A 12,806-nucleotide genomic window follows, 5' to 3' on the forward strand; every position below is an offset into this window, starting at 1 on the left:
TGTGCCCCTGCTGGGAGGTGCCTCCCAGTTAGGCTGCTTGGGGATCAGGGGTCAGGGACCTACTTGAGGAAGCAGTCTGCCCATTCTCCGATCTCCAGCTGCATGCTGGGAGAACCACTGCTCTCTTCAAATCTGTCAGACAGGGACATTTAAGTCTGCAGAGGTTACTGCTGTCTTTTTGTTTGCCTGTGCTCTGCCCCCAGAAGTGGAGCCTATAGAGGCAGGCAGGCCTCCTTGAGCTGTGGTAGGCTCCACCCAGTTCGAGCTTCCTGGCTGCTTTGTTTACCTAAGCAAGCCTGGGCAATGGCGGGTGCCCCTCTTCCAGCCTCGCTGCCACCTTGCAGTTTGATCTCAGACTGCTGTGCTAGCAATCAGCGAGACTTTGTGGGCGTAGGACCCTCCTAGCCAGGTGTGGGATATAATCTCCTTGTGCGCCGTTTTTTAAGTCCATCAGAAAAGCACAGTATTCGGGTGGGAGTGACCGGATTTTCCAGGTGCCGTCCGTCACCCCTTTCTTTGACTCGGAAAGGGAACTCCCTGACCACTTGCACTTCCCAAGTGAGGCAATGTCTCACCCTGCTTCACTTCACGCATGGTCCATGCACCCACTGAGCTGCACCCACTCTCTGGCACTCCCTAGTGAGATGAACCCGGTACCTCAGATGGAAATGCAGAAATCACCATCTTCTGCATTGCTCACACTGGGAGCTGTAGATCGGAGCTGTTCCTATTTGGCCATCTTGGCTCCTCCTTCCTTCTAGTTTTTATGTGAAGATATTTCCTTTTCCACTGTAGGCCACAAAGTGCACCAAATATCCACTTGCAGATTATATAAAAATAATGTTTCAAGACTGATCAGTCAAAAGAAGAAAGTTTGAACTCTTTGAATTCAATGCACACATCTCAAAGATGTTTCTTATAATGCTTCTGTGTAGTTTTTATGTGAAGATATTTCCTTTTCCACCATGGGTCTCGAAGAGCTCCAAATATCCAGTGGCAGATTCTACAAAGACTGATTCCAAACAGCTCAATCAAAGAAATTTTCAACTCTGTGAAATGAATGCACTCATCACAAAGAAATTTCTGAGAATGCTTCTGTGTAGTTTTTATGTGTAGATATTTCCTTTTCCAAAATAAGCCTCAAAGCGCTCCAAATATCCACTTGCAGATACTTTAAAAAGAGTGTTTTAAAAGTGCTCAATCAAAAGAAATGTTCAACTCTGTGAGTTGAATGCACACATCACAAAGAAGATTCTGAGAATGCTTCTATGTAGTTTACATGTGTAGATATTTCCTTTTCCAGAATAGGACTCTAAGTGCTCAAAATATCCACTTGTAGATTATACAAAAAGATTGTTTCAAAACTACTCAATCAAAAGAAAGGTTCAAGTCTCTGAGATTAATTCACACATCATAAAGAAGTCCTCAGAATGCTTCTTTGTAGTTGATATGTGGAGATATTTCCTTTTCCACAATGGGCTTCAAGGCTCTCCAAATATCCACTTGCAGATTCTACAAAAAGAGTGTTTGAAACTGCTGAATCAAAAGAAAGTTTCAACTGTGTGAGATGAATGCACTCATCACAAAGAAGTTTCTCAGAATGCTTCTGTGTAGTTTTTATGTGAACTTATTTCCTTTTCCAAAAAGGCAAGAAGGGCTCAAAATATCCACTTGCAGTTTCTACAAAAACAAAGTTTCAAAGCTGGTCAATTGAAAGATAGATTCACCTCTGTGGGTTGAATGTACACATCACAAAGAGTTTCTCAGAGTGCTTCTGTGTAGTTTTTATGTGAAGATATTTTATTTTCCACAGTAGCCATCAAAGTGTTTCAAGTTTCCACTTGCAGACACTTCAAAAAGAGTGTTTCAAAACTTCTCAATCAAAAGACAGGTTCAACGCTGCGAGATGAATGCACACAACACAGAGAAGTTTCTCAGAATGCTTCTGTTTAGTTTTTATGTGAAGATATTTCCTTTTCCACGATAGGCCTCAAAGCACTCCAGATATCCACTTCAAGACTCTACAAAAAGAGTGTATCCAAACTGCTCAATCAAAAGAAAGGTTCAACTCTGTGTCATGAATGCACACATCACAAAGAAGTTTCTCAGAACGCTTCTGGGTAGTTTTTCTGTGAAAAGATTTCCTTTTCCACAATAGGCCTCAAAGCGCTTCATTTTCCACTTGCAGATTCTGTAAAAAGAGTGTTCACAATCTGCTCAATCAAAATAAAGGTTCAACACTGTGAGATGAATGCACATATCACAGAGAAGTTTCTCAGAATGTTTCTCTGTAGTTTTTATGTAAAGATATTTCCTTTTCCAAAATAGGTAGCCAAGGGCTTCAAATATCCAATTGCAGATTCCACAAAAAAAGAGAGAATCAAAACTGCTATATCAAAAGAAAGGTTCAACTCTGTGAATGGTATGCAGACATCACCAAGAAGCTTCTCAACGTGCTTCTGTGTGGTTTTCACGTGAAGATATTTCCTTTTCCCCAAAGGCCTCAAAGCACTCCAATAAAACATTGCAGATTCTACAAACAGAGTGTTTGTAAACTGCTTAATCAAAAGAAAGGTTCAATTCTGTGAGTTGAATGCACACATCACAAAGAAGTTGCTCGGAATGTTTCTGTGTAGTTTTTATGTGAAGAGATTTCCTTTTCCACCATAGGCCACAAAGCGCTCCAATTATCCACTTGCAGATACTACAAAAAGAATGTTTCCAACTGTTCAAATAAAAGAAAGTTTCAACTTTGTAAGATGATTGCACACATCACAAAGTAGTTTCTCAGAATGCTTCTGTGTAGTTTTCATGTGAAGATATTTCCTTTTCCATGATAGGCCTCAAAGCACTCAAAATATCCACTTGGAGATTCTGAAAAAAGAGTGTTTCCAAACTGCTCTGTCAAAAGAAAGGTTCAACTCTGTGAGATGAATGCACACAACACAAAGAAGTTCCTCACAAAGCTTCTGTGCAGTTTTTATGTGAAGAGATTTTGTTTTCCACAATAGGTCTCAAAGTGCTCCAAATACCCACTTGCCGATTCTACAAGAAGGGTGTTTCAAAAATGCTCAATCAAATAAATTTTCAACTCTGTGAGAAGAATGCACACATCTCAGAGAAGTTTCTCACAATGCTTCTGTGTAGTTTTTATGTGAAGATATTTGCTCTTCCACCATAGGCCGCAAATGGCTCCAAATATCCACTTGCGGAGCCTAGAAAAAGAGAGGTTCAAAACTGCTCTATCAAAAGATAGGTTCACCTCTCTGAGTTGAATGCACACATCACAAAGAAGTTTCTCAGAATGCTTCTGTGTCGTTTTTATGTGAAGATATTTCCTTTTCCACCACAGTCCTCAAAACTCTCCATATTTTCAGTTGCACATTCTACAAAAAGAGTGATTCCAAACTGCTCAATCAAAAGATAGGTTCAGCACTGTGAGATGAATGCAAACATCATGAAGAACTTTCTCAAAATGCTTCTGTGTAGTTTTTATGTGAAGATATTTCCTTTCCACAGTAGGCATCAAAACGCTCCAAATATTCACTTGCAGATACTACAAAAAGAGTCTTTCAAAACTGCTCAATCAAAAGAAAGTTTCAACTCTGTAAGATGAATGCACTCATCACAAAGAAGTTTCTCAGAATGCTTCTGTGTAGTTTTTATGTGAACTTATTTCCTTTTCCAAAAAGGCAAGAAGGGCTCAAAATATCCACTTGCAGATTCTACAAAAACAGAGATTCAAAACTTGTCAATCAAAAGATAGATTCACCTCTGTGAATTGAATGCACACATCACAAAGAGTTTCTCAGAATGCGTCTGTGTAGTTTTTATGTGAAGATATTTCCTTTTCCACAATAGGCATCAAAGCGCTTCAAGTTTCCAATTGCAGATTCTTCAAAAAGAGTTTTTCAAAACTACTGAATCAAAAGACAGGTTCAACGCTGTGAGATGAATGCACACATCACAGAGAAGTTTCTCAGAATGCTTTGTGTAGTTTTTATGTGAAGATATATACTTTTCCACCATATGAATCAAAGCGCTCCCAATATCGACTTGCAGACTCTACAAAAAGAGTGTTTCCAAACTACTCAATCAAAAGAAAGGTTCAACTCTGTGTCATGAATGCACACATCACAAAGAAGTTTCTCAGAACGCTTCTGGGTACTTTTTCTGTGAAAATATTTTCTCTTCCACAATAGTCCTCAAAGTGCTTCAAGTTTCCACTTGCATATTCTTTAAAAAGAGTGTTCGAAATCTGCTCAATCAAAATAAAGGTTCAACACTGTGAGATGAATGCACCCATCACAAAGAAGTCTCTCAGAATGTTTCTATGTAGTTTTTAGGTGAAGATATTTCCTTTTCCAAAATAAGCAGCAAGGGAATCAAAATATGCACTTACAGATTCCGCAAAAATAGACATTCAAAGCTGCTCAATCCAAAGATAGGTTCAACTCTGTGTGTGGAATGCACACATCACAAAGAAGTTTCTCAGAATGCTTCTCTGTAGTTTTTATGTGAGCATATTTCCTTTTCCAAAATAGATAGACAAGGGCTGCAAATATCCAATTGCAGATTCCACAAAAAGAGAGAATCAATACTGCTCAATCAAAAGAAAGGTTCAACTCTGTGAGTGGAATGCACACATCACAAAGAAGTTTCTCAGAATGCTTCTGTGTGGTTTTCATGTGAAGTTATTTCCTTTTCCCCAATAGGCCTCAAAGCACTCGAAAAATACATTGCAAATTTTACAAAAAGAGTGTTTGCAAACAGCTCAATCAAAAGAAAGTTTCAACTCTGTGAGTTGAATTCACACATCACAAAGAAGTTGCTCAGAATACTTCAGTGTAGTTTTCATATGAATAGATTTCCTTTTCCACCATAGGCCACAAAGCACTCCAAGTATCCACTTGCAGATACTACAAAAATAGTGTGTCCAACTGCTCAAATAAAAGGAAGGTTCAACTTTGTGAGATGAATGCACACATCGCAAAGTAGTTTCTCAGAATGCTTCTGTCTAGTTTTTATGTGAAGATATTTCCATTTCCATGATAGGCCTCAAAGCACTCCAGATATCCACTTGCAGACTCTACAAAAAGAGTGTTTCTAAACTACTCAATCAAAAGAAAGGTTCAACTCTGTGACATGAATGCTCACATCACAAAGAAGTTTCTCAGAGTGCTTCTGGGTAGTTTTTCTGTGAAAAGATTTCCTTTTCCACAATAGGCCTCAAAGCACTTCATTTTCCACTTGCAGATTCTATAAAAAGAGTGCTCACAATCTGCTCAATCAAAATAAAGGTTCAACACTGTGAGATGAATGCACACATCACAAAGCAGTTTCTCAGAATGCTTCTGTGTAGTTTTTAGGTGAAGATATTTCCTTTTCCAAAATAAGCAGCAAAGGAATCAAAACATGCACTTGCAGATTCCGCAAAAATAGACATTCAAAGCTGCTCAATCCAAAGATAGGTTCAACTCTGTGTGTGGAATGCACACATCACAAAGAAGTTTCTCAGAATGCTTCTCTGTAGTTTTTATGTGAAAATATTTCCTTTTCCAAAATAGACAAGGGCTCCAAATATCCAATTGCAGATTCCACAAAAAGAGAGAATCAATACTGCTCAATCAAAAGAAAGGTTCAACTCTGTGAGTGGAATGCACACATCACAAAGAAGTTTCTCAGAATGCTTCTGTGTGGTTTTCATGTGAAGTTATTTCCTTTTCCCCAATAGGCCTCAAAGCACTCCAAAAATACAATGCAGATTTTACAAAAAGAGTGTTTGCAAACTGCTCAATCAAAAGAAAGTTTCAACTCTGTGAGATGAATTCACACATCACAAAGAAGTAGCTCAGAATACTTCAGTGTAGTTTTCATATGAATAGATTTCCTTTTCCACCATAGGCCACAAAGCACTCCAAGTATCCACTTGCAGATACTACAAAAAGAGTGTTTCCAACTGCTCAAATAAAAGGAAGGTTCAACTTTGTGAGATGAATGCACACATCACAAAGTAGTTTCTCAGAATGCTTCTGTGTAGTTTTTATGTGAAGGTATTTCCTTTTCCACGATAAACCTCAAAGCACTCCAGATATCTTCTTGGAGATTCTAAGAAAACAATGTTTCCAAACTGCTCTATCAAAAGAAATGTTCAGCTCTGTGAGATGAATGCACACAATACAAATAAGTTTCTCAGAAAGCTTCTGTGTAGTTTTTCTGTGAAGATAGTTTGTTTTCCACAATAGGTCTCAAAGTTCTCCAAATAGCAGCCTGCTGATTCTACAAAAAGGGTTTTTCAAAAATGCTCAATCAATGAAAGTTTCAACTCTGTGAGAAGAATGCACACATCTCAGAGAATTTTCTCACAATGCTTCTGTGTAGTTTTTACGTGAAGATATTTGCTTTTCCACCTTAGGCAGCAAATGGCTCCAAATATCCAATTGCAGATTCTACAAAAAGAGAGTTTCAAAGCTGCTCTATCAAAAGATATGTTCACATCTGTGAGTTGAATGCACACACACAAAGAAGTTTCTCAGAGTTCTTCTGTGTCGTTTTTATGTGAAGATATTTCCTTTTCCACCACAGGCCTCAAAGCTCTCCACATTTCCACTTGCACATTCTACAAAAAGAGAGTTTCAAAACTGCTCTATCAAAAGATAGGTTCAAGTCTGTGAGATGAATGCAAACATCACAAAGAACTTTCTCAAAATGCTTCTTTGTAGTTTTTATGTGAAGATATTTCCTTTTCCACAATAGGCCTCAAAGCGCTCCAAATATTCACTTGCAGATACTACAAATAGAGTGTTTCAAAACTGCTCAATCAAAATAAAGTTTCAACACTGTGAGATGAATGCACACATCAGAAAGAAGTTTCTGAGAATGCTTCTGTGTAGTTTTTATGTTAACTTATTTCCTTTTACAAAATAGGCAGGAAAGGGCTCCAAATATCCAGTTGCAGATTCTACAGAAACAGAAATTCATAACCGATCAATCAAAAGATACATTCAACTATGTGAGTTGAATGCACACATCACAAAGGAGTTTCTAAGAATGCTTCTGTGTAGTTTTTTTGTGAAGATGTTTCCTTTTCCAAAATAGGCCTCAAAGCGCTCCAAATATTCACTTGCAGATACTATAAATAGAGTGTTTCAAAACTGCTCAATCAAAATATGTTCAAGTCTGTGAGTTGAAGGCACACATCACAGAGAAGTTTCTCAGAATGCTTCTGTGCAGTTTTTAAATGAAGATATTTCCTTTTCCACCTGATACCTCAAAGTGCTCCAAATATCCACTTGCAGATTCTACAAAAACAGTGTTCCAAACTGAATCAAAAGAAAGGTTCAACTCTGTGACATGAATGCACTCATCACAACAAAGTTTCTCAGAATGGTTCTGTGTACTTTTCCTGTGAAGATATTTCTTTTTCCACAATAGGCCTCAATACGCTGCAATTATCCACATGCAGATTCTATAAAAAGTGTGTTTCAAATCCGCAAAATCAGAATAAAAGTTCAAAAGTGTGAGATAAATGCACACATCAGAAAGAAGTTTCTCAGAATGCTTCTGTGTATTTTTTTTGTGAAGATATTTCATTTTCCAAAATTTGGAGCAGCAAAGTGCTCCAAATATCCACAAAAAGAGAGATTCAAAACTGCTCAATCTAAAGATAGGTTCAAATCTGTGAGTGGAATGCAGACATCACAAATAAGTTTCTCAGAACTCTTCTGTCTAGTTTTTATGGGAAGATATTTCCTTTTCCACCATAGGCCTCAATGCGCTCCAAATATCCAGTTGCAGATTCTACAAAAAGACTGTTTCCAAACTGTGCAATCAAAAGAAAGGGTCAACTCTGGGAGATGAATGCACACGTCACAAAGAAGTTTCTTAGAATGCTTCTGTGTAGTTTTTATGTGAACTTATTTCCTATTCCAAAATAGACCGCAATGGGCTCTAAATATGTACATACAGATTCTACAAAAAGAGAGATTCAAAACTGCTCAGTCAAAAGAAAGATTCAGCTCTGTGAGTTGAATGCACACAGCACAAAGAAGTTTCTCAGAATGCTTCTGTTTAGTTTTTATGTGAAGATATTTCCTTTTCAACCATGAGCCCCAAAGCACTCTTAATATCCACTTGGAGATTCTACAAAAGACTGTTTCCAAACTGTTCAGTCAAAAGAAAGACTCAACCCTGTGAGATGAATGCACACAAAACAAAAAAGTTTCTCAGAATGTTTCCATTTAGGATTTTTGTGAAGATATTTCCTTTTCCACAATATGTCCCAAAGTAGTCCAAATATCCACCTGTCGATTATACAAAAAGAGTGTTTCAAAACTGCTCAATCAAAAGAAAATTTCAACTCTGTGAGATCAATGCACACATCATGAAGAAGTTTCTCAGAATCCTTCTGTGTTGTTTTTATGTGAAGATATTTCCTTTTCCATAATAGGACTCAAAGCGCTCCAAATATCCACTTGCAGATCCTATAAAAAGAGTGCTTCAAAACTGCTCTATCAAAAGAAAGTTTTGATTCTGTGGGATGAATGCACACATCACAAAGAAGTTTCTCAGAATGCTTCTGTGTAGTTTTTCTGTGAACTTATTTCCTTTTCCATGATAGGCCTCAAAGCACTCCAAATATCGACTTGGAGATTCTAAAAAAAGAGTGTTTCCAAACTGCTCTATCAAAAGAAAGGTTCAACACTGTGACATGAATGCACACTGAACAAAGGAGTTTCTCAGAAAGCTTCTGTGTAGTTTTTCTGTGTAGATATTTCGTTTTCCACAATATGTCTCAGAGTGCTCCAAATATCCACCTGCCGATTCTACAAAAAGTGTGTTTCAAAAATGCTCAATCCAAAGAAAGTTTCAACTCTGTGAGAAGAATGCACACATCTCAGAGAAGTTTCTCAGAATGCTTCTGTGTAGTTTTTCTGTGAACTTATTTCCTTTTCCATGATAGGCCTCAAAGCGCTCCAAATATCCACTTGGAGATTCTAAAAAAAGAGTGTTTCCAAACTGCTCTATCAAAAGAAAGGTTCAACACTGTGACATGAATGCACACTGAACAAAGGAGTTTCTCAGAAAGCTTCTGTGTAGTTTTTCTGTGTAGATATTTCGTTTTCCACAATATGTCTCAAAGTCCTCCAAATATCCACCTGCCAAGTCTACAAAAAGCGTGTTTCAAAAATGCTCAAACCAAAGAAAGTTTCAACTCTGTGAGAAGAATGCACACATCTCAGAGAAGTTTCTCAGAATGCTTCTGTGTAGCTTTTATGTGAAGATATTTCCGTTTCCAAAATAGGCTGAAAGGTCTATAAATATCCACTTGCAGATTCTACAAGAAGAGATTCAAAACCACTCAATCAAAAGAAAGGATCAACTCTGTGAGGTGAATGCACACATCACAAAGAACTTTCTCAGAATGCATCAGTGTAGTTTTTCTGTAAAGATATTTCCTTTTCCACAGTAGGCCTCAAAGTGCTTCAATTATCCACTTGTAGATACTATAAAAAGAGTGTTTCAAATCTGCTCAATCAAAATAAAAGTTCAACACTGTGAGATGAATGCACACATCAGAAAGAAGTTTCTCAGAATGCTTCTGTGTAGTTTTTAGGTGAAGATATTACCTTTTCCAAAATAGGCAGCAAAGGAATCAAAATATCCACTTGCAGATATTCTAAAAATAGACATTCAAAGCTGCTCAATCCAAAGATAGGTTCAACTCTGTGAGAGGAATGCACACATCACAAAGAAGTTTCTCAGAATGTTTCTCTGTAGTTTTTATGTGAAGATATTTCCTTTCCCACCACAGGCCCTAAAGCACTCCAAATATCCACTTAGAGATTCCACAAAAAAAGTGTTTCAAAACTGCTCAATCAAAAGAAAGGTTCAACAAAGTGAGATGAATGGACACATCACAAAGAAGTTTCTTAGAATGCTTCCCTGTAGTACTTACGTGAAGATATTTCCTTTTCTACAGTATGCCTCAAAGTGCTTGAAATATCCACTTGTAGGTGCTACAAAAAGAGTGTATCCAAACTGTTCAACCAAAAGAAAGGTTCAACTCCGTTATATGAATGGACACATCACAAAGAAGTTTCTGAGAATGATTCTGTGTAGTTTTAATGTGAAGATATTTCATTTTCCACCATAAGCCTCAAAGTGCAGAAATTATCCACTTGCAGATACCTCAAAAACTGTGTTTCAAAGCTGCTCAATCAAAAGAAAGTTTCAACTATGTGAGATGAATGCACACATCATAAAGGAGTTTCTGAGAATTGTTCTGTGTAGTTTTTATGTGAAGATATTTCCTTTTCCACATTAGGCCAAAAAGTGCTCCAAATATCCACTTGCAGATTCCATTAAAAGAGTGTTTCATAACTGCTCAATCAAAAGAAATGTTCAAGTCTGTGAGATGAAGGCAAACATCACAAATAAGTTTCTCAGAATGCTTCTGTGTAGTTTTTATGTGAACATATTTCCTTTTCCACCATAGGCACCAAAGCGTTCCAAATATCCACTTTCAGATTCTACAAAAAGAGTGTTTCCAAACTGCTCAATGAAAAAAACAGATTCACATCTATGAGGTGAATGCACACATCACCAAGAAATTTCTCAGAAAGCTTCTGTGTAGTTTTCGTGTGAAGATATTTCGTTTTCCACCATATTCCGCTAAGGGCTCCAAATATCCATTTGCAGATTCAACAAAAAGAGTGTTTCAAAACTGCTCAATCAAAAGATAGGTTCAACTATGTGATATGAATGCACATATCACGAAGAAGTTTCTCAGAATGCTTCTGTCTAGTTTTAATGTGAAGATATTTCTCTTTCCAAAATAGGCCTCAAAGCACTCCAAATATCCACTTGCATATTCTAGAAAAAGAGTGTTTCAAAACTGCTCTAACAAAAGAAAGGTTCAACTCTGTGAGATGAATGCACTCATCACAAAGAAGTTTCTGAGAATGTTTCTGTCCAGTTTTTATGTGAATATAATCCCGTTTCCAATGAAGGCCTCTAAGCAGTCCAAATGTCCACTTGCAGATATAAAGAAAAGAGTGTTTCAAAACTACTCTAAGAAAAGTTGTGTTCAACTCTGTGTACTGAATGCAAACATCACAAAGATGTTTCTGAGAATGCTTCTGTCTAGTTTTTATGTGAAGATATTTCCTTTTCCACCATAGGCCTCCAAGCTCTCCAAATGTCCACTTGCAGATACTAGAAAAAGAGTGTTTCAAAACTGCTCTATCAAAAGAAAGGTTCAACTCTGTGAGTTGAATGCACTCATCACAAAGAAGTTTTTGAGAATGATTTTGTCTACTTTTTAGGTGAAGATATTCCCCTTTCCTACGAAGGCCTCAATGCAGTCCCAATATCCACTTGCAGATTCTACGAAAAGAGTGTTTCAAAACTGCTCTATGAAAAGGTATGTTCAACACTGTGTGTTGAATGCAAACATCTCAAAGAAGTTTCTGAGAATGCTTCTGTCTAGTTTTTATGTGTAGATATTTCGTTTTCCACAATAGGCCTCAAAGCTCTCCAAATGTCCACTTGCAGATAATACATAAAGAGTGTTTCAAAACTGCTCTATCAAAAGAAAGGTTCAACTCTGTGAGTTGAATGCACACATCACAGAGACGTTTCTGAGAATGCTTCTGTCTAGTTTTTATGTGAATATATTCCCGTTTCCAAAGAAGGCCTCTAAGCAGTCCAAATATCCATTTGTAGATATAAACAAAAGAGTGTTTCAAAACTGCTGTATGAAAAGGTATGTTCAACTCTGTGTGTTGAATGCAAACATCACAAAGAAGTTTCTGAAAATTGTTCTGTCTAGTTTCTACTTGAAGATATTACCTTTGCCACCATAGGACTCAAATCTCTCCAAATGTCCGCTTGCAGATTCAACGAATAGAGTGTTTCAAAACTGCTCTATCAAAAGAAAGGTTTAACTCTGTGAGTTGAAGGCACGCATCCCAAAGAAGTTTCTGAGAATGCTTCTATCTAGTTTTTATGTCAAGATATTTCCTTTTCCACCTTAGGCCTCAGAGCTCTCCAAATGTCCACTTGCAGATTCTACAAAAAGAGTGTTTCAAAACTGCTCTATCAAAAGAAAGGTTCAACCCTGTGAGTTGAATGAACACATCACAAAGAAGTTTCTGTGAATGATTCTGTATAATTTTTATGTGACGATATTCCCGTTTCCAATGGAGGCCTCAAAGCAGTAAAAATATTCACTTGCAGATTCTACGAAAAGAGTGTTTCAAAACTGCTCTATGGAAAGTTACGTTCAACTCTGTGATTTGACTGCAAACAAGACAAAGAAGTTTCTGAGACTGCTTCTGTCTAGTTTTTGTGTGAAGATATACCCGTTTCCAATGAACACCTCAAAGAAGTTCAAATATACACTTGCAGATTCTACGAAAAGAGTGTTTCAAAACTGCTCTATGAAAAGGTATCTTCAACTCCGTGAGTTGAAAGCAAATATCACAATGAAGTTTCTGAGAAGGATTCTGTCTACTGTTTGTGTGTAGGTATTTCTTTTTCCACCATTGGCCTCAAAACTCTCCAAATGTCCACTTGCAGAGAGTACAAAAAGAGTGTTTCAAAACTACTCTATGAAAAGAAAGGTTCAAATCTGTGAGTTGAATGCACACAGCACAAAGAAGTTTCTGAGAATGCTTATATCTAGTTTTTGTGTGAAGATATTCCCGTTTCCAATGAAAGTCTCAAAGCAGTCCAAATATCCCATTGCACATTCTACGAAAGGGTATTTCAAAAGAGCTCTATGAAAAGGTATCTTCAAATCT

At 37.3% G+C, this 12,806-nt stretch overlaps 3 annotated features.

Moving 5' to 3' along the window:
- Positions 3,924–4,848: an enhancer, noted in NCBI's record as "OCT4-NANOG hESC enhancer chr3:90440775-90441699 (GRCh37/hg19 assembly coordinates)". NCBI's record gives its function as "activates a minimal SCP1, AML or CMV promoter by ChIP-STARR-seq in primed H9 embryonic stem cells {active_cell/tissue: H9 hESC(primed)}" and the evidence as "EXISTENCE:reporter gene assay evidence [ECO:0000049][PMID:30033119]".
- Positions 4,863–5,364: an enhancer, noted in NCBI's record as "NANOG hESC enhancer chr3:90441714-90442215 (GRCh37/hg19 assembly coordinates)". NCBI's record gives its function as "activates a minimal SCP1, AML or CMV promoter by ChIP-STARR-seq in primed H9 embryonic stem cells {active_cell/tissue: H9 hESC(primed)}" and the evidence as "EXISTENCE:reporter gene assay evidence [ECO:0000049][PMID:30033119]".
- Positions 10,814–11,718: an enhancer, noted in NCBI's record as "OCT4-NANOG hESC enhancer chr3:90447665-90448569 (GRCh37/hg19 assembly coordinates)". NCBI's record gives its function as "activates a minimal SCP1, AML or CMV promoter by ChIP-STARR-seq in primed H9 embryonic stem cells {active_cell/tissue: H9 hESC(primed)}" and the evidence as "EXISTENCE:reporter gene assay evidence [ECO:0000049][PMID:30033119]".

This window comes from Homo sapiens, chromosome 3 (assembly GCF_000001405.40).
Source record: "Homo sapiens chromosome 3, GRCh38.p14 Primary Assembly".
Classification (NCBI taxonomy): domain Eukaryota; kingdom Metazoa; phylum Chordata; class Mammalia; order Primates; family Hominidae; genus Homo; species Homo sapiens.